At 35.3% G+C, this 26399-nt stretch overlaps 1 protein-coding gene across 24 annotated transcripts in view, besides 1 other annotated feature; it reads left to right on the plus strand.

The window, feature by feature from the left end:
- TCF12 (transcription factor 12) overlaps nucleotides 1-26399 on the plus strand; it is a 373221-nt gene that overhangs the window by 52244 nt on the left and 294578 nt on the right. The window lies entirely within an intron of this gene.
- Nucleotides 6915-7099: a silencer, noted in NCBI's record as "fragment chr15:57269446-57269630 (GRCh37/hg19 assembly coordinates)". NCBI's record gives its function as "represses an EF-1alpha promoter that drives an FKBP-Casp9 reporter gene in an ReSE screen in HepG2 liver carcinoma cells {active_cell/tissue: HepG2}" and the evidence as "EXISTENCE:reporter gene assay evidence [ECO:0000049][PMID:32094911]".

Below are 26399 nucleotides of genomic sequence, written 5' to 3' on the forward strand. Positions count from 1 at the left end.
GCTGGGCATGGTGGCGCGCACCTGTAGTCCCAGCTACTCGGGAGGTTGATGCAGGAGAATTGCTTGAATCCGGGAGGTGGAGGTTGCAGTGAGCCGAGACCACGCCACTGCACTCCAGCCTGGGCAACAGAGCGAGACTCCATCTCAAAAAAAAAAAAAAAAAAAAAAACAAGATTACTATCTTTGGCCCATTAAATGAAACAATGGAACAGAGATCCCAATGTAAAAGAATGAAACTACAAATATAGGAAGAATATATGGATGAATTCTTCTGCAACCTGTGTAAGGAGAGTTTTTCTCTATATCTCAAATCCCAATGTAAAAAGAGGAAAGACTGATACATTTGACTATGTAAAAATTAAAGATAAGACTTTTGCATGGGGAAAAAACAGTAATTACAAAGTCAAAAGACAGATAGAAAATTGGAAGAAAACAGCTGGGCGTGGTGGCTCATGCCTGTAATCTCAGCGCTTTGGGAACCTGAGGCAGAAGAAATGCTTGAGCCCAGGAATTTGAGACCAGCCTGGGCAACATAGGGAGACCCTGTCTCTACAAAAAATAAAAAAAAAAATTAGCTGGGCATGGCAGTCCACGCCTATTGTCCCAGCTACTCGAGAGGCTGAGGTGGGAGGATTGCTTGGGCCTGAGAGGTTGAGGCTGTAGTGTTTGTGCCACTGCACTCCAGTCTGGGCGACAAGAGTTAGACCCTGTCTCAAAACACAAACAAACAAAAAATTGTAAGAAAAACATTTATCACAGAAATAAGGGCTATCCTTCATGTATAAAGAATCTTTGAAAATAGAGGGTGGGCTGGGAGCCTTGGCTCACGCCTGTAATCCCAGCACTTTGGGAGGCCGAGGTGGGTAGATCACTTGAAGTCAGGAGTTCAAGAACAGCCAGGCCAACATCGCGCAACTCCATCTCCACTAAAAACAAAAAAAAAAATTAGCTGGGCGTGGTAGTGGGTGCCTGTAATCCCAGCTACTAGGGAGGCTGAGATAGAGAATCGCTTGAACCTAAGGGGTGGAGGTTGCAGTGAGCCGAGATCACGCCACTGGACTACAGCCTGGGTGACAGCGAGACTTTATCTCAAAAAAGAAAAAAAAAGAAGGCGGAAAAAGAAAACAGCAAGACACCCAACAGAAAAATAGGTCAAAGTTATGGACAGTTCCCACCATGGCCTGAACTACTGTTTCAGGTTTACTTTAGAATGCCCTGGGCTGAGAGGAGGGGTCCATGCAGTTAGTTGGGGGGCTTAGAATTTTATTTTTGGTTTGTGCTAGACAAAGGGATAATTCATATTCTGTTGGAGTGGGAAAGTGTAAGATTTCACCATGCTACTCAGACGCTACTAAGAATGGCACACAATTTAAAACATATGAATTGTTTCTGGAATTTTCCATTTAATATTTCTGGACTCTGAGAAGTCTTCCCTTATCTGTAGTTTCACTTTCTGGGGATTCAGTTACCCTTGGTTAACCAAGATCCAAACATTTTTATGAAATGTCCAAACTAGGCAAATGTGTAAAGACAGAAAGTAGATTAGTGGTTACCTAGAGTTGGGTAGCGGGAGTAGATGGAAGAAGGGGGTATGACCACTAGGGATATGGGGTTTTTGGAGGAAGGGGTAATGAAAATATTATAAAATTGCTTGTGGTAATTTGATGGTTGCACAGCTCTTACGAATATACTAAAAACCATTGAATTGTGTATTTTAAATAGGTGAATTATAGGGTATATGAATTTTATCTCAATAAAGCTGTTATAAAAGAAGTGAGTTACCTATGCTTAGTGATTTATGGCTCAAAACGTTTTTCTCCATCACTAAAATGTCTGTGATTCATTCCTGTACATTGCTAATGAGAATGCTAATTAGTACAGCCCTTTTGGAAGGAACTTCGGCAGCATCTAACAGAACTGCATATGCATTTTCTTTTGATCCAGCAATTCCACTTCTGGGCATTCACCCTGAAGATTTGCTTCCAGCAATAAAATAATATGTATTATTTGTAATTGCAAAATACAGTTATATCTAGGAGACAACCTAGTTGTCAGTACATAGGAAAGTGATTATATAAACTATGGTATAGCCACAAAATGCAGATGTGAAAAAGAACAAGGAAACTTCTATGAATTGATAGTGATTTTAGGATTGTGTGATTAAGTACAGCAAACAAAGTGTAAAAGAGCATCTATACCACACTTGCTTAGGTAGTAAAGAAGCCAAGATAAGATAATATACATCTGTCTGCAAATGAGCCATAGAAAAGATAAGCCAGGAACCACAGACACAGTTAGTAGGTTTAGGGTAGAAATAATGAGGGATGGGAATCTGATGAAAGGAAATGGAGGAGGTTGTGACAGTACTGAGTATACCTTTGTATATAGTTCTAACTTGGAACCACGTTAATGTTTCTCATACTTAAAAAAATCACAGAGAAGAATCAAAATAGACTAAAGCAGAGACAAATGAACTCATCTGTATTTCAAATGAGTAACATAGTTATGGAGGGGAGGGGAACAGACTAACACAACTTTTGAACACAGTGTTTGGACTATATAGCTTCAGGACTGAAGACAAAAGTAACTTTAAAAAATATTGAACTCTAGTTTTTAGGCTTTCCGTTTTCCTGGAGAGCTATGGGCTAGCAAACCAAAACTATGTTCTGTGGTATACCAGGATTGAGCAAATAGGTAAATATTTTATGGGTAATAGAAGCCAGGTTTTTGTTGGAGGAGGGAGTTTTAAAAGTAGAAAGGGAGAAGACTCGAAGGAAGAGATCCTGTAATCTTCCACTAGAGTTCATAGTATCAATGTAAACTCATTTCCCTCCCGCCTCCCTCCCTCCCATCTGTCAGTCGATCAACAATCAAAATAGTTATAGATGAGACAGGTGTGTACATATATGAATGTGTATGTATGAGTATGTATGCATGTGTATACATTAATTTATTTCCAAGCTGTATCTGGTAAGAGGTACATACAAAGCATTGACATCTGAGAAAGTCAGGAGTGCTCAAAGAATAATAGGGATGAGCAAAAGGGCACAGGATATTTGTAGGACTCCCACTGGCCTTATCTGTGCTACTGTCAGCATCAAAATAAATAATAATAGTGATGGCTTATAACATTAATAAAATAAGAATCTATGAGTACATACAGATGTAAATAGATGAAGAGGGCAATGTTCCTCTTTTGTAGTCGAATAACAACTAATGTATATAAAAGGAACAATAGATTTAGAAAATCACCATTTGGCAACCATTATGGTAATAAGTGATTCATGCATTGGTTAGTAATTGATTAATGGATGTTAAAAACTACCAAAGTGAAAGTTTGATGAGTAACAAGATACTTACATAGATAGATTGAAGATACTGCCTCACAAGATACTATTTCCAGAGAGAAAGTTGTAACTTTACAGTGGAGAAATTTTGCTGACAGGATTGTAACCATGTGATTAAAGTTTTATCACCAGTAAAGGGACAAGTTGACAAGTGTCTCCTGATATAGAGCACTGAGAAGACACCATCACTTTTGTGTTATTCCTGCCAAAAATCTAAAACCTGAATCTAATCATGAGAATGAGACAGGCTCACGTTAAAGGTCATTCTACAAGATAACTGAGAAGTACTCTTCAAGTATGTCAATATCATGAAAGACAAAAATTTAGGAATTACTCAGATTAAAGATGCCACAAATAAGTGCGTTCAGTGTTCGTGGCTTTTCTTTTCCTGTGAAGGACATTATTGGGACAATTGGTAAAATCTCAATAAGGCCTGTATATTAAATGGTAGTATTGTTTTGGTGTTAAGTTTTAAGTTTCCTGATTTTGAAAATTGTATTTTGATTTTAAGAAAATATTCTTTTTAGGAAACACACTGAAATATATAGAGTAATAAAGTATCATGTCTGAAACTTCCTCTCAGATGGTTCAGAAAACATATGCAGGTAGACAGGAAAACAGAGAGGAAAAAATGGTTATAGCAAATGTGATTCTTTGAAAAAGAACAGGATAAAGTAATTGTGGTAAAATGTTACCACATGTGGGATTTAGGTGAAGACTCTATGGGGATTCTTTGTGCTAGTCTTGCAGCTTTTCTGTACTCTTGCAAATTATGTCAAAATAAAATTTTAAAAATAAAAAGATACTTTACAGAAGGTTTAATGAAACTGCATATGTTTTTGAGAGAAGGAAGAATAACAAAATTATTAAATATCCACTTTGTTAGATTCTTTGAGAGATACTGTGCAAAGTACTTCTGTGTACTTTAGTATTTACAACAATCCTGCTTTAATATTTACAGCAATCCTAGAGGTTAGATACTAGTTTGTAAGTTTTTATATAGGAGGAAAATAAGAAACAAATGGGTTGGAAGACTGGTCTGTAGTTGAAAAAGTAATGAGGCAGAGTTAGGATTCCAGCCCTAAATTGTTTGACAACTAATTTCGTATTTTTTTTTCTCTACCAACCTTTTACTTAGATCCGCTTTCTAAGTGATTTTTATGAAAAAGTTTTATCATTGGTTAAATTTGTGTGGTAAGGCATTACCAAAAAATTCATTTAGAAGCTATCTTTGCTTTTGTAGTTAAGCCATTTACAGAATGTATTTGTTTAATACATTTTAAAAAATCATTAGCCATGTGGCTCTTGAGTTTCGAATAGTGGACCTCCTTAAAATATATTTGGTTTAATTTTATAAATGTTTTCCCATCATTTTCTTTAATGAAAACATTTGCAATATTCATAAAATGTTAGTAAGGGACAATATATAGCAAACATTTTTAGCTTATGTACAAAGGGCAACAACATGTTTATAGTATCTTTTGTGATTAGTAGATTAAGTTCATTTTGACATTGGAATTTATGTACTGGCATTTGGCTTATGGCCATGATCTAATAATAAGGGTATGGTAACAGGTCTTTAAAATATTAGTAATCAAAATGCTTTTATCTGTAGCTGACAAAATGTAGTCTAAAGCAAGAATTAAAGCCATATTAGAGTGATTGAATTTGCTGTTAAACCTTGCATTTAAAATAGTTAATGATAAACTTTCTATACAATGGCATTCCTGTACTTTGAGAAGGAAAATATCTGTGAATGATGGGTCTTTTAATGATTGTTAATAACTAGCCACATAATGATTGAAATTTCTTTTAGCAATTTCAAATTATTAGAATCTCATTATTCTAAAAAAATGAATTTACCTAATAAAGCCTGCCTAGCTGTATTATCTGTGTGAATATGTTAAAAAATAAAATATGCCAGTAGCTAAGCATATGCTAAAAACTAGGGGTTTTTTTTGTTTGTTTGTTTTTTGTTTGTTTCCTGCTATTTAATGTGAGGCACTGCTAAACTTTTATATCAGACAACCAACAGATAGCCAATTACAAGTAATAATTTTAATAAAACTTTAGGTTTTAAAAGTCAAATTTTCTTTGTATCTAAATTGAGCTTCCTACGTATTTATCGCTAAATATAATCAGATACTTGGGCAAATGGCTGGTTTTATATCTGAGGCAAGAAATGTACAAGAGAAACATGGAACATCTTGTCACACTAGATAATAGGAAGCTTCAAACACTACTGGGCTTTTGCAGAAGGACTCAGGGTCCAATTTGAAAAACTAATAGCTTGGCTAAAAATGGGACAACTTGAGCAGGAATAAAGATGATATTTGCAATGGATTGAGCCACACCGTATATGTTTAAATGGATGAGTTCATAATGACTCTTTATAAGATCACTAGTTACACTGGTGGAGGATGCTAATGAAACAGTCATTTTTTTTTAAAGTGGAAAATGGAAGGAAAGAATTGAGCATTCATTCTGTCTTTTCTATAAGAACTGTACCGTTGGACAACTAAATAGTAGATAAAAGGAAGTTTCTTTTTTTTTTTTTTTTTTTTTTTTGAGATGGAGTCTTGCTCTGTCACCCAGGCTAGCGTGCCGTGGTGCAATTTCGGCTCACTGCAACCTCTGACTTCCGGGTTCACGCCATTCTCCTGCCTCAGCCTCCCAAGTAGCTGGAAGTACAGGCGGCCGCTACCACGCCTGGCTAATTTTTTTTTTTAAATATTTTTAGTAGAGATGGGGTTTCACCATGTTAGCCAGGATGGTCTCGATCTCCTGACCTCGTCATCCGCCCGCCTCGGCCTCCCAAAGTGCTGGGAGGAAGTTTCTTTTTATAGAACTATTACAGCTAATACATGAGGAAGGAATTATAAAATTATAATGTTACAAATTTGTATTTAAGCCCTAATAAATCAATGAATCTAGGCATTGAGCATCATGAATACTAATATTACCAGAAGACAGCTAGACACATTTGCTTCCTGATGTAAGACAGTACCACGTGTGAAGTGGTCTCTCCCACCCAGACAGTTGAATCTTAATCAGATCAAACATCTAAATTCACCTAGTAACTTAAGGGAAATACTGAAGATGAAAATAGTAAAGAATAGCAAGGAGATACAACTTTGCTGTTAGTAGCAAGAAAAATTGAGATTGTGGGACACTGTATAGCACAGACAACTAGTTTCTTCCTCCCTCCACAAAATCTCAAGGAAAAAATGTGAGGGGACATATTTTAAAATTTTAATTAATTAAAATAAAAATTTAGATCCTCATTTGCACTAGCCACATTTCAAGTGCTCAATAGCTATATGTATCTAGTGGCTACCATATTGGACAGTGCTGATTTAGAACATTTCCATCTTTGCAGAAGGTTATATTGAGCAGTTACATTAGTTTCTTAAGGCTGCCATAACAAATTACTACAAAATGGGTGACTTAAAATAACAAATTTGTTCCCTGACGCTTTTGGAGGACAGAAGTTCAAAATCAAGATGTTGCAAGGTACTGGCAGGACATATGGGGGAAAATTTTTTTGTTTGTTTGTTTTTTTAAATAAAAGGCCAGGTGTGGTGGCTTATGCCTGTAATCCTAGCACTTTGGGAGGCCGAGGTGGGCGGATTGCTTGAGTCCAGGAGTTCGAGACCAGCCTTGGCAACGTGGCAGAATCCCGTCTCTACTAAAAATATAACAAGTAGCCAAGAGTGATGGCATGTGCCTGTAATCCCAGCTACTCGGAAGGCTGAGACAGAGGTTGAGGTCTCAGTGAGCTAGAGGTTGCTGTGAGCCAAGATCATGCCACTGCCCTCCACTCTGAACGGAATTAGAAAACAGTTAATTTAAAAATTCGATATTCTGTGTGTGTGTGTGTGTGTATGTATGTGTGGAGAGAGAGAGACACACACACACAGAGAGGTGGAGACAGCGTTTGTAGCTTTGTGTGTGTGTTTTGGCTGTTGAAATTGTTTTGAATCCAGTATTTTTGAGCTGAAGTTTGTAAAATTCAACAAAAGGAAAAAGTAATCTGTTTTTGGCAATTGAGTATTGGCTAAACGTTAGAAATGTGTTTGTTCATGTTTTTAATATCTTATGTATACTGATGTTAGGATACTTCTATAGAGCTTCTCAAATTGTAGCACATATCAGAATCACCTGGAGGATTTTTAAAAACAGACTGCTTGACTTCATCCTCAGAGTTTTCAACTTACTGGCTTGGAGATAGGGCAGACAGAATTTGCATTTCTAACAGGTTCATATGATCTGATGCTACTGGTTGCGGGACCACTCTTTGACAACCGCTGCACAATAATTAAAAAAATTAAAAAAGATAAAATATGTACGGTAACAAAGATCTGTCTTCGATGCATGAAGAAGCTATTCTCATAAATGTATATTAAAAAGCATGCATTTGTCTGTTAGAGAATCATTTGGAACCTTATGTCTTGTGTTTGTAACTTGCACAGCTTCAATACTGCAATGATCATTTCTACTTTTCTCTGAACAAAACTCGGTTCATTGTACTGTATCGAGTAGTAGTAGTATGTACATGGATGAGAGAAGTTCAGAGTTAGTGAAAATAGTGAAAAGAATACATAATATAAAGAAAAACCGTGATTCCACTAATAGTTATCCAGACAAAACAATAAATTTTTAGGGAAATGTGTTTGCCAGAATTGTTTTAAATTGTAGTATTAATATTTATATGAACGAGAATGAAGTTCAGAGTTAGTGAAAATAGTGAAAAGAATATGTAATATAAAGAAAAATCATGATTCCACTAATAGAGAGTTACCCAGACAAAACAATACATTTTTAGGGAAACGTATTTGCCAGAATTGTTTCAAAAAGCAAGGGATGATAAAAACTAAATTCAGCATTGTGGTTACTCCTCCAGGAGAGAATATTTTTATTCCATTATTTGTCTATACCTCACATACATGATACAAATAATTCTTTTGTTTTTAGTAGTCAATAAGAATAGTTAAATACTAAAGCAAAATACTCTTATTTCCTTGATAGAAAAATATCTTATGAAGAATGAAAGCTCTCTTTGGCTCTTTAGTGGGGCCTACTATCCCTTAGGCCAGATATTGCTGGCCTAAGTATTCAGCAGGCCCAACTAAAAAGCCCAAGGGAGCTTTATTCTTCATAAGAAATTCTAAAGATAGAATTTCTGCAATGATGGGAAATTTTCTTTTTAATTTGTCTTGTCAAATGTGGCTGTGACTGAGCAACTGAATTTTTAATTTTAATTATGTAGTTTTAATTGTGTAAAATGTGCTGGTGGCTACCTCATTGGACAGCACAACTCTAGGCAGTTTAGAACATAGCTTATCACTTGAGTTATTTAGTCTGTTAATTCTTTTATAGAACATGCAGTGTTTGGATGGCCGACATTTTGCTTAGGTCACTCATTTTTGTTTTCTTGTTTACTTTGACTCATACCTTTGTTTCTTATGTTTAACAGGAAGTTTGATTTACTTTCTTATGCTTTACATTCTGAAAATTGAGTCTTTAGGATAAGAAGCTACTGGACAAAGTTTATTGTCAACAGTAATATGTACCCATAATGTTATTTGAAATTTTCATAAAATCATGTTTTTTTGGTCAGTTTTTAAATTACTTTTCATCTTTTCATTGACTTTATTTAAAATATCTCTCCCATTGACTTTCCTGAGCCCCCAAACAAAATTATTTTTATTTAATTTAGTCTATACCTTGAGTCATTCAGTAAATATTACTTGCTTGTTGTGAACCATGCATTCCTGAGAGATGGGCAATGATAGTAGAAATAGATCCTGACTTATGATATGCTTATAAACTATGGAAGGCAAACATTCTGTTGTAGCATGTTTGAAAGTGTTTTTAGGAAGCAGAATGTGTCTGAGAGAAACACGTTGAATGGTCATATAATAGTTAAAGAAATACAGTAAGAGAGTATGTGAATCAGAAGGGGCCAATGAAAAATGTTTATAGATTTTTAGTATTGCTTTCCTTAGAAGAAAAAAATTACAGATTTCTACCTTGTATGTTCTTTATTTGGTCACTTGATGGTCAAGGAGATTGTGCATCAAAGTTCTTAGCAGTATTATTCCTGCTATCTAAATGTTGTGAATTCTTAATGTATGACTTCTGTGACCTGTACCCTGAAAATCTTCATTACTTGTATTCATTTGCAGAAGTTTTATTGGATACTCTGTGTAATGTAACTGAAAATTTCCTGTTAATCGTAACAGTGGATTTGTGTCTGTATTGTATTTCCTTAGTATGTCCAGCTTTGAAGGCCAGGTCCAGAATGTAGAATAGATGAAGCTATTATAGATTTATATCCTCATAGTTTACATATGTATCAGCCATTGTTCATTTATAAGTCAAGATTTTTGTTTTGGCTGAGCACGGTGGCTCATGCTTGTAATCCCAACATTTTGGGAGGCCTAGATGAGACGATTTCTTGAGGCCAGGAGTTGGAGACCAGCCTGGTCAACATAAAGAGACTGTCTACCAAAAAAACAAATTATTTTTTAAATTAGCTGGGGGTAGTGGCATGCCCTTCCGTCTCAGGCTTCCAGTTAGCTTGGATGTTGAAATTTAATTGCTGTTGTAACAGTATTAACAGGTGGGACCTTAAAGATGTTATTAGGCCATGGATGGGATTAATGCCATTATAAAAGGGTGAGTTTGGCCCCCTTTTGGTTCTTGCCCTTCTGTCCTCTGCCGTGTAAGAATCCGGGCAGTGTGCAGAGTGCAATCTTGGAAGAAGAGGATGGCCCCACAATACATTGAGGCTGCTGGCGCCCTTACTGTAGACTTTTCAGCCTCCAGAACTGTGAGCTAGTAAATTTCTGTTTATAAATTACCCAGTCTCTGGCATTTTGTTGTTGTAGTACAAAACAGACTAAGGCACTTTGCTCATGCTGCGCCTGCTGTTCATAGTCTTTATCTGACACCTTAGACTTAGCATTTCCTCAACTCCCATGTTTTACTCCCACTACTGTGACAGCCAGATCAGTTGTCATGTCATCTGTGCACACAGCCTCCAATTTCAGTTGTCTTCTCTTTTCCTGTAGGATTTTGTTCATTCTGCTAGTCATGTTTGGCTGTTTACTCATGTGGCTCTCTTCTCTCAGATTTGTGCTTTCCGTGAAGATAGATATTATTTGTATGTTTATTTGGGATGCCTAGCATAACACTGGACATGCAGTAGATAGTTGTTGGATAAATTATTGAATCACCTAAATTCTCAATACTCAAGACTAGAGGTTGATATTTGACATTTATGGAAGATTAGGTAATCACTTTCATAGATTTATTTAGGTTTAGAGCAGGAAGCCTCATATTTCTGCATTTTCAATAATAAATTCCGGACTAATGATGATTTATCTAACAACATGAACTTGTAATAGTCATGTGGGGGACACTACATTTATCAGAGGCTACTGAAATAATAATCTTGCTTCAGGAGAGTCTTTACTGAAAGTTTACTATATATCTTGGTTTGTTATGTGCTGCTATAACAGAATACCGGAGACTGGGTAATTTATGAAGAACAGAAATGTATTCTTTCACAGTTCTGGCGGCTGCCAAGTCCAAGATCAAGGTATCAGTAGGTTTGATCTCTGGTTCTAAGAGATGTCTTGATGAAGCCATGCATTGATGCCTCTTTGCTGTGTCCTCTGGAGAGAACGGATGTTGTGTCTTTATATGATGGAAGAGCAGAAGCAAGAGAACAAAACCACTTCTGCAAGCCCTTTTTATAGTGGTGTTAATCTGTTCATGAGGGTGGAACTCTTAAGACATAAACATCTCCTGTTAGGCCTCACTTCTCAACACTGTGGCATTGGGGATTAAGTTTCAACATGAGTTTTGGAGGGGCCAAAAACACTCAAACCATAACACTTATATACAATTGGTCTTTGAACAACATGGGGGTTAGAGGCTCTGACTCCCCACACAGCAAAATCTCTGTATATAACTTTTGACTCCTCCAAAACTTAACTACGAATAGCCTTTTGTTGACCAGAAGTCTTACTGATAACATAAACAATTAATACATATTTTTCATGTTATATGTTTTATATGCTGTATTCTTACAATAAAATAAGCTAGACAAGTGCAAACATTAAGAGAATCATTGGGAAAGAAAATATATTTACTAAGTGTAAGTGGATTCTCATAAAGATCTTCATCATTGTCTTCATGCTGAGGAAGAGGAGAGGTTGGTGTGGCTGTCTCGCAGAGGTGGAAGGGGCAGAAGAGGTGGGGAGATAGAATGGGAGGCAGGATAGGCAGGTACACTTGGTGTAGCTTTTATTGGGGGAAAAAAACACATGTGAGTGGACCCATGCAGTTCAAACTTGTGTTGTTCAAGGGTCAACTGCAGCTTTTCTTGATTCTAAATTTAGATATAATTTACCAATTCATTCATTTAACATTTATTGACTGTCTACAAAGCTCCAGAGACTCAGGTAGGCTTTAGAGATAATAGTGGGGAGCAAGAAACACATAAGCTCTTGGGGCTTATTTTAAAAAAGAATAAAGTAGGTAAAGAGTGACTGTGATGAATAATTCAAAACTCTAAAGTTTCTTTAGTTGATATGACTGAATTTAATTTTAGACAATCACATTTTATGTGTTTAATTAAGGTAATTAAAATGCTCCAAACAAGGTTGAGAATTCTTACGCTTTTTAAAAATATAGGTAAATTCAAAATCTTTTAATTTTGATGGTGATTACATGTAATACAGATTTGCAGAAAAATCCATAATTATAGAATTGGTGCTGACTCACTTTCCAGTGACCTGATAACTGTCTGCATCATTTACCATTGTGAATGAATTACCCAAGTCAGTTTTCAGACAAATTTGCAGAATTAACCTTAGTAACTGTTGAACACATTGCTGCTTTAAACAACATATTGTTACATTTTTTAAAAGAAAAAAATTAAATTTGTACCTTGATTCTGTAAACCATACTTTAATCTTTCAAGGAGGAAGAATGCGTTCTCTGTAGAAAATAGATTAAATAGAATCTTCTCTCCTAGTGATTTAAATTGGTTTAATTAAAAACAAATTCTATATCTGCAAGAGAAACAGTTGCTCATCTAATTCAAAAAGTAACTGCTAATTGAGAAGTCATTTATAGTCTGTCTTACCATACATTATCTGATTTCCTTGTAGTAGATATACATTCTGAATTGCTTTTGAAGTAGCATCAGAGTAGGTAGTAAATATGTGGTAGGTGTTAGTTTGGGATTAAAATATGTAACAATTCTGCAAATGAATTATATAAAATGGTCATATTGAGGGACTACACAGTATATGAAGGTCAGATGACATATTTGGAAGCACATTGAGAGAAACAAAATATTCTTACACAAGGTTGTTGTTAGAAATAGTAGTAGCAGTGAGAATATGGGACATTCTTAATGATTCAGAATTGCTGGCATGCCTATTTTCTGTGAACCTTGATATGTATTCAACTCTGTCCTGTTACCTTTGTCTCCCGTAGTCATTCTTTGACTGCTGCTGCTGCCTGTAGTCCACTGTAAGCCTCTCTTGGCAAAAGAGAGATTGGTAACTATTAGAGAGAGAAGTTAAAGACATGAGCCTTATTGTGGCTTGTTTGCTTCCTTCCTTCTTTCCTTCCTTCCTTTCTCCTTTTGTGAATGGAACTGATAGAAGGTTGCATTTCTTTTTGCAAGAAAGCTGTAGAGGGAAAATAATTATATAAACCTGTTTTTTAAAATACAAAGATATTACTGCACAGTTCTTTAGCCTCAAACCTTGAAATTGGATTTGCCTTGGAATCCAAAATATTCTGAATTTTAAAAACTGTATTAGTGGTAAATACTATATATTATGTAACATTTCCTAGAGAGATCTATTGCAGAACCCTATAATCAAATATATCAGCAATTCTGAATTGAAAAATACTAATATGCATTTCAGTTCAGGTCAGGTTTTACCGTCAAATAAGTTATGTAAAACTTTAGTCTTTAGAACTTTGTGGATTTTAGGATTTTGTTCAAGGGGCTAGGCACGGTGGCTCAAACCTGTAATCCCAGTGCTTTGGGAGGCCAAGGCAGGAGGATCAGTTGAGCCCAGGATTCAAGATCAGCCTGGGAAGCAAAATGAGACTCCGTTTCTACAAAAATAAAAATGAAATCAGCCGGGTAGGGTGGCACATGCCTGTCATCCCAGTTACTTGGGAGGCTGAGGTGAGAGGATCACTTGAGCCCAGGAGGTCAAGGCTGCAGTAAACTATGATTGTGCCACTGCAATTCAGCCTAGGCAACTGAGTGAGACCCTGTCTCAAAAAAAAAAAAAAAGAAGAAGAAGAATTTTGGATCAAGGATTATTGACCTCTTTTTGTTTAGTGTTTCTTAGGATATGTAGAACCTATTCTTGTGAAGAGAGAAAGATACGTTGTTCTTCTGTTTTCACCTTTATGAACCATATATGTTTCTGGTTGAAATTATGTGTATAAACACGTGAACACATTTATACATTATACATATATGTGCATACAACTATATACAAATTTAGGAAAAGCATGTGCATGGTGTGTGTGTGTGTGTGTGTGTGTGTGTGTGTGTGTGTGTGTGTGAAGGGTGGAGAGGGAGAGAAAGGTGGATGGTTGGGACAAGGGGAGTGGTTAACCGGGCCTGTTAGCATTGTTTCATCCTTGTGCTAGCTCAGGTTTGGTACCTAACATGGTGTGAAATAAGACCTTAATTGCACTTTCACAGCTGTGTTTAGCACGTAAGCTGATCATGAACAAATTCTCTTGTCAGAGATAAAAGCTTGAAATTCCAAGACTATGTAAAATCACAGACAATTAGAGTGTTCTGTGTACCGTACAAAATAATGGTAAAAAAAATTCAAACGGTCATAGCACAGTATAGTTTAAACTGCTGTTTTACTAATTCTTCTGGAGTGAGAAACATTTTCTGTAGTAGTTAAGCACCCAAAGAAGCCATTTTACCTTGCCTGTTAAAAAATGTGTGCAAGGTCTGTGGTTCAAGATTGAGAATGAAGGATGTGTGAGCCAATTGAATAGGTAATAGGAGTTCAGGTAAGCAGTTTAGGTAATGGTTTAAATTGGAGAAAGGCCAGACCATAGGGATTAACACCCTACCATTATGAAAAGTCCCATAAGATCTCAGATGACCTCAAGAGGCTTGTACTTTTGTTTGTTAAGAACCTTTGTAAGATTGTGCTAAGACACCGTGAAAAATACTGAGGCTGTAATGTTGCTTAACCATCTAAGTACCAGTAAATGTGGTAGAAATTATCTTTCTACTCAATTATAGCAACTAAAAGTCAGGCCCTGAATCAGTCAGAGGAAATGAACTCTTGGGTTGGAATGCACATAATTTCTTTTTATATATCAAAATGTTCAGTATTTCTTTGAGGTCCCAGATCTGAACAAACATTATTTCATGAGAAGATACACTTTTATTTCCTTCCAGTGCTTCTACAATGCTTTTTCTCCAATCCCGTGTTCTTTGCTGACAACAGCAAGTGTGTGTTCTTTGAGAGGTCAATAAATGCTGATTTCTGCAAGAAAACTCTTAGGAAGTGAGCCTAGACATTGTGAAGAGGAAGTACAAAGAATGAGGCAATTAAATGAAGAATATTGCAAAGGATTATTTTAAATTGTGAGTCAGAAGCCAAACTAATTTTGACTACTAAAATTGTGAGTCAGAAGCCAAACTAATTTTGGCTACTAAATTAGTTACTTCCCTCGGGCCTACCAATCTTCATATGTATACCATGGCTTATTTTGACTTAGCTGGTTAATTTATCCAGATACGTAGATGGTAGCAAATTGGCATTATCAAACTCTACTTTTTCATACCAAAGAGCAAAATAAGTGTGCTTATAACCGTAGTTCCTGTCTTTATAAAAATGTATGAATAAATTTGAGCCATGTAAATTAAGGTTACAGAACAGATAGCATTTAGTGAAGAAAAGCTGGTCCTTAGAGTATATCATTATTTACCCCATAGTACCTACCTAATGAAATCTAGTTTTAATGATTCTTTTTAGGACACCAAAGCTCATGAAGCCTATTACAATAACGTGTTTAATTCTGAGTAATTGTTTTTCCTATTTAAATGAAGAACTCAGTGACTAAAAATTTATTTCCTGCAAATTTTCTTAGATGATAGAAGTTATACGTAGTAAAACCAACAGGACCAACTGTGAGGCTGAAGGAATTTCAGTTAAGAGGTTTTAATTTTTATCAATTTAAACTGTGTTTTGAGGAGTGGACAGAAAGGGAAGAGGGATATTTTGAGATCACCCAGCAGTTTTTGATCTTTTGTCAGTTCTTTTGTAATGCTATAGATGACTACAATTTGAAACTTGAAATAAGAAATTTTTTGTATTGGGTGATTCACAAACTGTTGGGTTTTCTGAATGGCTTAAATCCTTTAAAGAAACAGTTTTAAAAAGACATAGCATGAGAACAGGATCATAATTATTCTGTAACCAGCAGTCTGTGTTGGTTACAGAAAGTATGCTTTTGTTTAACATTATAAATAAATTACCTTATATTGCTGCTTACGTTTCTGGTTTTTGGTGTGTATGTTATCAATGTTGACCAAAATTAACTGAATATGGTGACAAAACCAGAGAAAAAATTTGAGCTTCTGTTGATAAATAAAATGTAAATGCTACTTTTTGAAATAAAACTTTACACTTATAGGCTTTTATGTATGATCTGTGTTTTCTTGAGGAAATGTTGATTAAGTAGTTTCCATTTTGGTATTACAGTATGTCCTGTTGTAAGTAGCTGACTGTGTAAAAATCTTTTAAGTCAAAAAAGCAGCTCAGCTTAAACCCCTACTATTTATTATGGCAGAAACCAGAAATAGAAATCTTCCAGAAGTTTTATAATGTATTACATTCCTGCATATCTTTTGGAGTAAAATTAAAGTTTTAAAAAGAGGCTGTTCACAACAGAAGTTACTTTATGTATCCTTATGTATATCCTTATATACACAGTATCTTTTAAACACAATTTACTAAATACTTGTCTGCATTTTTTAAAAAAGAAAACCCTAGCCCAAAATGAATGACAAAATTGTCTCGTTAGATTTGTAAGATGTGTTGTTAACCTATAAAATAGGTGAATTAAGTATAATTCTGACAAAATTAGTTACATGTAATACATAGCAGGATGTACTTGTTTGGGATGAAACAAAAAATCTTCAAAGTTTTCTATAGTGTTTTCTGTTAAGGAACTCGTTTATTGATTTATTGAAGATCTTTGGCTGTTTTTGATAATAAAAGAATCTTGGTCTATAATATTACTAATTAATAAATAAGTTTTTGAGGATAACGCCAATACTTGAATTTTGATATCTACTTGCAACATGCAGTAATGCAATATTTAGTGAGCTTAATTAGTTGCTTTTTTTTTTTCCACCCTGAGACAAGAGTTTCGCTCTTGTTGCCCAGGCCTGGAGTTCAGTGGCGCAATCTGGGCTCACTGCAACCTCCACCTCCTGGGTTCAAGCGATTCTCCTGCCTCAGCCCCTTCTGAGTAGCTGGGATTACAGGTGCCCGCCACCACGCCCGGCTAATTTTTTGTATTTTTAGTAAAGAGAGGGTTTCATCATGTTGGCCAGGCTGGTTTCGAACTTCTGACCTCAGGTGATCCACCTGCCTTGGCCTCCCAAAGTGCAGGGATTACAGGCTTGAGCCACCGTGCCTGGCCTAATTAGTTACTTTTAAATGTTACTAACAGAATCTGAGGAGCGTGGTTTGTGTCCTCAGAATAAATGTTTAAGCTTTGAGTGTCTGCCTGTGTCATGAGGAAAACAGGGAGAGGAGAAAATTTCTTGTTGCTGCTATTTTATTTGCATTTAAGACTAGTCATTGTTAGGTAACTATGGAATCTTCACTGCTTTACAGTTTTGGTGCATGTCAGGTTCAATAATTTTTACTTTAAAAAGTTATTTTTACATTTTAATGAGATTAAATTGTTTACCAATTAACATTGTACTATAAAAGGAACAGAAATGTGACTGGCACTTGGAAAGAAAAGCTGTCATCTGTAGACTGATGTGTGGTATTCTAATTTAAATTCGTGGTTTGGCAGAATTAAATTTGGATTTTAACATCATCCAGAAGTAAAAGTTATGTGCATTTTCAAGATAAACTCAGGAAATAAACCATATAGGAAAGACTCATTTTTGCTTCAGAACACAGTAAAGATGAAACTTTGAAAATGCTTTCTAATCATTCAGTGTAAACCTATTTACCAAGTTAAACTGGTCATGTGATATTTCATATATCACTTGTATTAGTATGTGGTCTTATGCTTATAAAGTTAATGTGCTTAAAAATAACAGCTAAAACATATAGGCAGTGATTATTAAACAAGAACATTAAAATACGATTCAAAATTGTTTAATTGTACCTTTTAGCAGAAATACCATTTTAAAAGATAGTAACATTTTATTTTCTGTCAGTAAAAATATAGTCATGTGTCACTTGACAGGGATAAGTTGTAAGCAATTAGTTATTAGGTGATTTGGTCATATGAACTTCATAGATTGTACTTACATAAACCTAGGGGGTATATAGCCTACTATACACTAGACTATGTGGTATAGCCTGTTGCTCCTAGGCTACAAACCTGTACAGCATGTTACTCATCTTAGTATACAGAATACTGCAGACATTTGTAACAATGTGTATCTAAACATAGAAAAAGTACAATAAAAATGTTGTTGTAATCTTATGGGACCTGTCATATATGTAGTCTGTTGTTGACCCAAATGTCATTATGTGGTACATGACTGTATTTTTGTTTGAACTGTTTAGTGACTGTCAACAAGAAATTGTACTGTCCAATATGACTTAAAATGTTAGTTGCTATAGTTATAAAGAGCACAAAGAGTGTGCATATTTAGGATTTTGGTCACAGTTTTTGCACTGTGTTTTGAAAGAAACATTGAAGCTAATGTGAATGTAGTAGACAATTAGTATTTGAATTGAACTTTAAAGTGTATTATGTGTCTGAAATTAATTCCAGAGTAGTGACCTTGAAAGTCCAGATCAGCAACTCTGACTTCCCATGTTCAAAACAAAGGGCCTTTTCTTATTTATGGATGGTAAAAGATGTAAAAATACCATCTTAATTCTTAACAGTGTGATGTATAGGTAATGGTGAATACCACAGTGTTACTGAAGCTGTATCATATAACTCAATAGCTAAATTTAAGTAATTGATATTTTTGGTCTATATTTTCTTTTAAAAGTATACTATAATCGTGTTTAAACTGTTTACTGGTTATAGCAATGACAATTTACTTTGCAAAGTATATAAAAAATAAAGATTTTAAAAATAACATTTTCCAAGAGATGACTATTTATTGACATTTTGATGTTGATTTCCTAGCTTTTTTCTCTGCATATATTACATATTATGCATATTTATACCAACATTTAAATTAGGATCATACTGCTTCTGTAATGTATTAGATTTTAACATTAGAAAAAATATTTTAAGTCCTGCAAGCAGAGAATGGTGTTTGCATTTTAAATGGTTATAGTTTAAATGGTTATGAGACCCTACATTATATCCTCATTTTTCCTCTTGACCTGCAAAGCCTAAGATATTTTCGTATCTGGCATTTTAAGAAAAAGTTTGCTGAACTCTTCTCTAAAGGAAAAACTGTGTTCTCCTACAGATTCTGTCTGCAGCATTCTCTCCTTGCAGGACTTAAAACAAAACAAACAAAACAAAAAAACCAGGCAGCTGGGTGGATTTAGAAATCCTGGCTATAGTTTGCAAACCTTTGCTTTAGAAGTTTGTTTGCTTATATTGTGTTTATATTTTACAGTGTGTGTGTGTCTGTCTTTCTAAATCTTTCTTGACATTATTGCCTCAAAGGCACTGAGACAGCGTGTGTTAAAACCCAAGGACACAGATTGTAATTCTAGTCTTATTGCTGTAGGAATCAGTTTGCTGGTTTCTAGAGGGTGGGCTGACCTTGACTTAGTAAAGTATAGTACTTTTTGTCTCCCTAGTAGAAGTATTAACTGACCTTTAAAGTGAACTTGATGCACCCTCTTCAGGAAACAGGAAACTGTTACATTTGGGTGTGATATTAGGAGATGAGGATACTGTGTAGGAGGTGTTGGACCTGCCTAAAGTGTTTGGCCTTGAAATGTCAAGGTTGCTCTCCCAAACCTAGTTTTCCTTGACCTGGCTGTTTTTCTAACTTCAGAGACGGACTTAAACAATAGAGTTTATTAGATTATATGTCTGTGTAAACAAATGAAGATTAAAAGACAAAAAATAAAGTAGTTAAAAATGAAATGTCTTACTTTTTCTTGTTTTAGGATAAAAATTGTATTAATACCTTAAAATGTATTCAGCAGGCAAAAACTTCGGTAGTTTCGGTATTACAGTGACACCATTTATTTTTAGGCATAGTCTTGTCTTTTTTTTTTTTTTTTTTTGGTAAATATTATACCATTTTCAACTTAATGTGAAAAGCTTTTCCAGTTAATCTTTATCGTGTGTGTGTGTCTGTGTGTGCGTGTGCGTGTGTGTGTGTGTGTGAAAGAAAATGTGTTTTAGGCAGCATCAGTAGAGCAAAATAAGATTTAATGTTGTTACTTCAAAACTGTATCCCTAACAAGACGATACAAAATTCAGAGTGTTTTGGCCCCTTTTCTAGGACAGATTTAGAAACTTATAGACTTGTAGTTATAGGATAAATGTATGCCAAAGCTTTCTTCAAAGAAAGCTCCATCATAAGGTGGTTTTTCTTCGTGGTGCTTATATTTTACAGGAACATTTAGAGGGATGTGGTGTTTCTATTTTTCTTTGCCCTTCTAATCAGCAATTAAAAAAATATTGGATCTACAGGTTTGGGGGGTAAATTCTATTGCAGATTTGTTATTAACACTACTCTACATATCTGTTGGCCTGTAGCATACTTACTGCAGAACTTGTAGCTTGATAGCCCAATGTGTTCTTGGGTTATGATTCTGAAATACTGCTGAGCTTTAAAAACTTTAGCAGCTTTGACCAGAACACCTACGTTAAAATTTCTTTATAACTCTTCAGAATTTTTTTCTTTTTCTTTTTTTTTTTGAGACAGGGTTTTGCTCTATCACCTAGGCTGGAGAGTGAAGTGGCATAATCATGGCTCACTGGAGCCTCTACCTTCCAGGCTCAAGCAATGCTCCTACCTCAGCCTCCACAGTAGCTGGGGCCACAGATGTGCACCACTGCACTTGGCTAATCCTTAAATTTTTTTGTAGAGATGGGGTCTCACCATGTTGCCCAGGCTGCTGTCAAACTCCTGGGCTTAATCAGTCCTCCCACCTCAGCCTCCCAAAGTGCTGACATTACAGACGCGAGCCACTGTGCCTGGCCAGTCTTCAGATTTGTTAACAAATCTCAGGGGTTTGCTTTAGTCTCCCAAGCTCGCCTTACGTAAATGTGTCATGTAATGAAAGATGATATTCCCAACCCACCATCTCACATATTCAGTTGATTTTCACTAACCGTGAAGGATTTGCACTGATTTATGCATCCAATTCTCTCCTGATTTCTTTACTTTTCCTCCTCTTTTCTCTTTCCTCACCAGTCTTCCGTTTCCATCTAATGACTAGTGTCCCACATTGGACAAGATAAAATGGTTGACCAGTTAGAGACATAGGAAAAAGTGGAATATTGAATTTGCATTGAAAGGGCTGAACTTGTGACCTTATGTTATCTTCCATATAATTCTAATTTCTACAATATAAGGTTTTAATTTACTCAGTTCAGAAAATCTAATTGTTTGACAGTAAAGTTTGGACCTATTTATATAAAGTTTGGAGGAAATATGATCTTATCAATATGCACTATGGAAAATGTCCTTTTTAGTCTGTGAATTTAGAGCTATACCTACTGCTTGAATGAAGATGGTCTAAAGATTTAAAAGACATTTAGGGTTAATAAGTTTTCATGGCAAAACATTTAACATTTTTAAACTAAATTCAGATGAGTTACTCATTTTTTGTGTACCTTAATTCCTTCCAAATACTCTTCTGTCAGAACTACAAAGTTAAATCTCAATTATAGTGCCCTTTTTTTTATTTAGGGAAATAATTATCATCATTGATTAATACATTGTACAAGGGTTAACTGTCTTTTAACCATCAGGGTATAGAAAAAGTAAGTTGGTTAAAACAACTTTTAAGTTTATTATGGAGATAAACACTATTGTCATATGATTCTTTAGATTTCCTTAAAAATTGATCTCCTATGCCAGGCACAGTAGCTCATGCCTGTACCCTAGTACTTTAGGAGGCTGAGGTGGGAGGATCACTTGAGACCAGCAGTTCCAGATCAATCTTGGCAATACAGTGAGATCGTGTCTCTACTAAAAAAAAGCCAAAAAGAAAAAAAAAAAACCTAGTTGGGCATGGTGATGTATGCTTCTGGTCCCACTTACTCAGGAGGCTGAGGTGGGAGGATGATGTGAGCCCAGGAGGTTGAGGCTGCAGTAAGCTGTGATCATTACACTGTAGTCTAGCCTGGGTGACAGAGTGAGACCCTGTCTCACAGTAAATAAATAAATAAAAATTTAAGCCTTGCTTCTAAATCCAGTCTCCTTTAATTAAGTTTTATTGCCACATTCTTTCTGCTTTTAATTTTTTGTTGTTGTTGTTAAAACTAAATTTTACAGCTTTTGTTTCTCACGTAGCAGCCAGGGTTTGAAAGAGATTAAGGGTCATTCTTCTGAAATAAAACATGTCCTGAATAATTTTAATTTGAGTCTACTATTGAAAGTCACATAACATTTTGTTGAATGGTGATTCTTACCTAATCACCTGTAAATGGATCACAGACACAAATACCTAGTGATGTGCTATACATTATGCCATTGTGAATTTTATAAAGGCTAAAGAGTGAGGAAGTAGAGTTCTTCTTTTCTGATAGTGCACTACAAAATTTTGAGGACCTTGCAGTGATCATCTGTAGTCATAAAAGCTGTTTAGCCAAAACATGATTGGATTTTATTAATAGTGTTACGGCTATCTTTTCATGAGTTAGTTACCATGTGAATTAGTGCAATTTTGGTGAATAGAAGAATGCTTAGGACTATTGTCTTATTTTAAATTACCGATTATCTTTTTATAAGGATATTTGAGGAGTTCATGTGTCAGTGAGAATTGAGCAACTGAGAAGAAGTTAGAGGTTAGTTCCCTTTTCCAAGTATGATGGATTAACCACATGCACCCCGTCTTTCTCACTGAATGCATCTATAAAACCTAGGCAAAATGGATGGAACTCTTCTGGACTCTGCAGAATAAATAATACCAGGTGGGATATGAATGAAGACTAGCATTCAGAATACCATCTCACTGGCTGTGAGTTTACCATTTTTTTTTTCTTCCAGCATCCCCAGACAACTTAACACAATCTAAAACCTAAAAGTGGGGCAATCTGAAACAGAAAGCTCTAAAAGACGCCTGCTACTTCTGGCTCAAGGAACAGGAAAGATAACTGCTAAGTTCAGAATGAAAATTTTGTCATTTTTTTTGTCTTCTCCATCTCTCATGCCCTATTCCCAAGCAACCGTGTGGTAATGGCAGCAGAGACTACAGCAGGAGCCCATGGTCAAAACTGAGGGATGAGAACTTTCCTCTCCAGTTGACAAATCCCATTGCTTTTTCTTTTTCCTTCTTCATCTCTTTGTTCTTCCATTTCTTGTTTCCAAGTCAGATACAGTATCAGAAGTGTGACCCAAGAAGAGTACCAAAGATGCAGCATTCTGGATGAAGGAATTAAAAGGGATGCCTCAGAGAATTGGAAAGTACTGAGACCACGTGTAAAGAGAAGCTTGGAAAAGCAATACCATAAAGTTCTTTATGAATTCCCTGAACTATACATACTTGGAAATAAAGGCTGTCACCCAGGCTAACCATTCGATGATACAAAAGTGGGACAAATTCAGATGGCACAGCATAAGCCTTTGAAAGTTGAACTGATGCTGGAACCATGGCTATAGAAGCCATGTTAGAGCTCATGGCCTAATCCTAACCAAATGAATCACTTGTTAAAACAAATATATTACCAGTGTCCACAGGATTTAAACAGGAACCAGAGTTTCATAGCAATATGTTAAAATTCCCAGGTTATAATCCAAAATTAGCTAACATATGAAGAACAAGGAAGATTTCAACTCACATGAGAAGAGGTGATCAACATATACCATCATGATAATAACGTTGGAATTATCTGACAGAGATTTTATGGTAGCTATTATAAAATGTTTCAACAGACAATTGTGAACACTCTTGAAATGTATGAAAAAGTCTCAGCAGAGAAATAGAAGATACAAAGAAATGGAAATGTTAGAACTGAAAAATACAATAAGTTAGGGGAAAAAGACCACTGGATGGGTCAATAGCAGAATGTAATGGCAGGAAAAAAATCAGTGAACTTGAAGATAAATCAATAGAAATTTTTAAATCTGAACATTAGAGAAGAAAGAATTTTAAAAAATTGAACAGAGCCTTAGGATATTATGGGAAAATAACAAAGTGTTAGACATTTAAACAAGAACCAAAATTTCATAACAATATTTTTAGACATCCAGGTTGTAATCCAAAATCTAACATATGAAGAACCAGGAAGATTTCAACTCACAATGGAAGAGGTAGTCAACATATAGAAAGAATGTAGTTTTGAGAAAATATTTGAAGAATTAAATGGCTAAAGACCTCACAAATTTATTGAAAGACACAAACATACAGATTCAGAGAATCAGAAATGGAATAAATCCAAATAAATTTATGCCCAGATATGTCATAATTAATCTGAAAACTAAAAACAAGAAAAAAACTATTGAAAGCAGCCAGAGGAAAATGACATTGCTCCTTGGGGGGAGCAATGATTCTAATGACTTCAGATTTTACATCAGAAACCATGGGAGTAAGAATAAAGAAGAAAAAACAATTTGTTCAGTACTGAAAGAAAAGAACTGTTTATAACTAGCAAAAGTATTTTTTAGGAATGAAGGTGACATAAGGGCATTTTCCGGTAAAGGAAAAACTAAGAATATCTGTTGTCAGCAGACGTGATCTAAAAGAATTGCTAAAAGATGTTCTTAAGACAAAAGGGAAATTTATATCAGAAGAAAACTTGACATTAGGAATGAAAGAAGATAAACAGAAATGGTAAATATTTGGGTAAATATTGTAGATGGTTTTTCTCCTCATGAATTCTTTAAAATACGTTGGATAATTGAGAGGAAAAGTTATAACATTATCTGATGTGATTTTCAGTGGCTGTGGCATCAAATATAACATCTATGATCCACTTGAAGAGTAAAATATTGATTCCAAATAGACCCTGAAAAGTTAAATATGTATGTTATAATCCCTAGAGCCACTACTTACAAAATAAGTAGGTAGGTTAGAATTACAATGGATAAATTAAAAAATATTCAAATATCATGCTGTTTTGGTTACTGTAGCCTTGTACAGTTTGAAGTCAGGTAATGTGATACCTGCAGCTTTTTTTTTTTTTTTTTTTTTTTTTTTTGCTTAGGATTGCTTTGGCTATTTCGGCTCTTTTTGGGTTCAATTTGAATTTTAGAATAGTTTTTTTCTAGTTCTGTGAGAAATGACATTGGTAGTTTGATAGGAATAGTGTTGAATCTGTAAATTGCTTTGGGTACTTAGGTAGTGTGGTCATTTTAATGATGTTGATTCTTGTAATCAGTGAGCATAGGATGTTTTTCCATTTATTTGTGTCATCTCCGATTTTCTTTCAGCAGTGTTTTGTAATTCTCCTTGTAGTGATCTTTTACGTCCTTGATTAGCTATATTCCTAGATATTTTATTTTTGTGGCTATTGTAAATTGGAGTGTGTTCTTGTTTTGGCTCTTAGGTTAAATGTCACTGCTGACTTTTGTACATTGATTTTGTACCCTGAAACTTTATTGTAGTTGCCTATCAGCTCTAGGAGCCTTATGGTATAGTCTTTAGGGTTTTTTAGGTATAGAATCATGTAGTCCATGAAGAGAGAGAGCTCATCTTCTTTTCCTATTTGGATGGCTTTTATTTCTTGCTGTTGCCTGATTGCTCTGGCTAGGACTTCCAGTACTACATTGAATAGAAGTGCTAAGAGAGGCATCCTTGTTCCAGTTCTCAAGGGGAATGCTTCCAGCTTTTGCCCATTCAGTATGATATTAGCTGTGGGTTTATCATGGATTACTCTTATTATTTTGAGTTATGTTCCTTCAAGGCCTAGTTTGTTGAGGGTTTTTATCATGAAGAAATATTGGATTTTATTGAAAGCTTTTTCTGCATCTATTGAGATGATCATTTGGTTTTTGTTTTTAATTCTGTTTATGTGGTGAATCACATTTATTGATTTGTGTATGTTGAACCAGCCTTGCATCCCAGGAATAAAGCCTACTTGATCATGGTGAAATACCTTTTGATGTGTTGGGGGATTCAGTTTGGTAGTATTTTGTTGAGGATTTTTGTGTCTGTATTCATCAGTGATACTGGCCTGAAGTTTTCTCTTTTTGTTGTGTGTCTGCCAGCTTTTGGTATCAGCATGGTCTTGGCACAAAAAAAGATGATGCAACAGAATAGAGAACCCAAAAGTAAAGCCACACACCTACAACCATCTGATTGTTGACAAAGTCAGTAAAACTAAGCAGTGGGGAAAAGACTTCCTATTCAATAAATGTTGCTTTTAATAACTGGCTATCCATATGTAGAAGAATGAAACTAGACCCCTACCTATCAGTGTATACAAAAATTAACTGAAGATGGATTAGGGACTTTAAGACCTCAGACTTTACAAATCCTGTACGAAAACCTGGAAATACTCTTCTCAACATTAGCCTTGGCAAGGAATTTGTGGCTAAGTCCTCAAAAGCAGTTGGCAACTAAAAGAAAAATTGACCAATGAGACCTAATTAGAGAGCTTCTGGACAGCAAGAGAAACTATCAAGGGAGTAAACAGACAACCTACAGAATGGGAGAAAATATTCACAAACTA

Source organism: Homo sapiens, chromosome 15 (assembly GCF_000001405.40).
Source record: "Homo sapiens chromosome 15, GRCh38.p14 Primary Assembly".
NCBI lineage: Eukaryota > Metazoa > Chordata > Mammalia > Primates > Hominidae > Homo > Homo sapiens.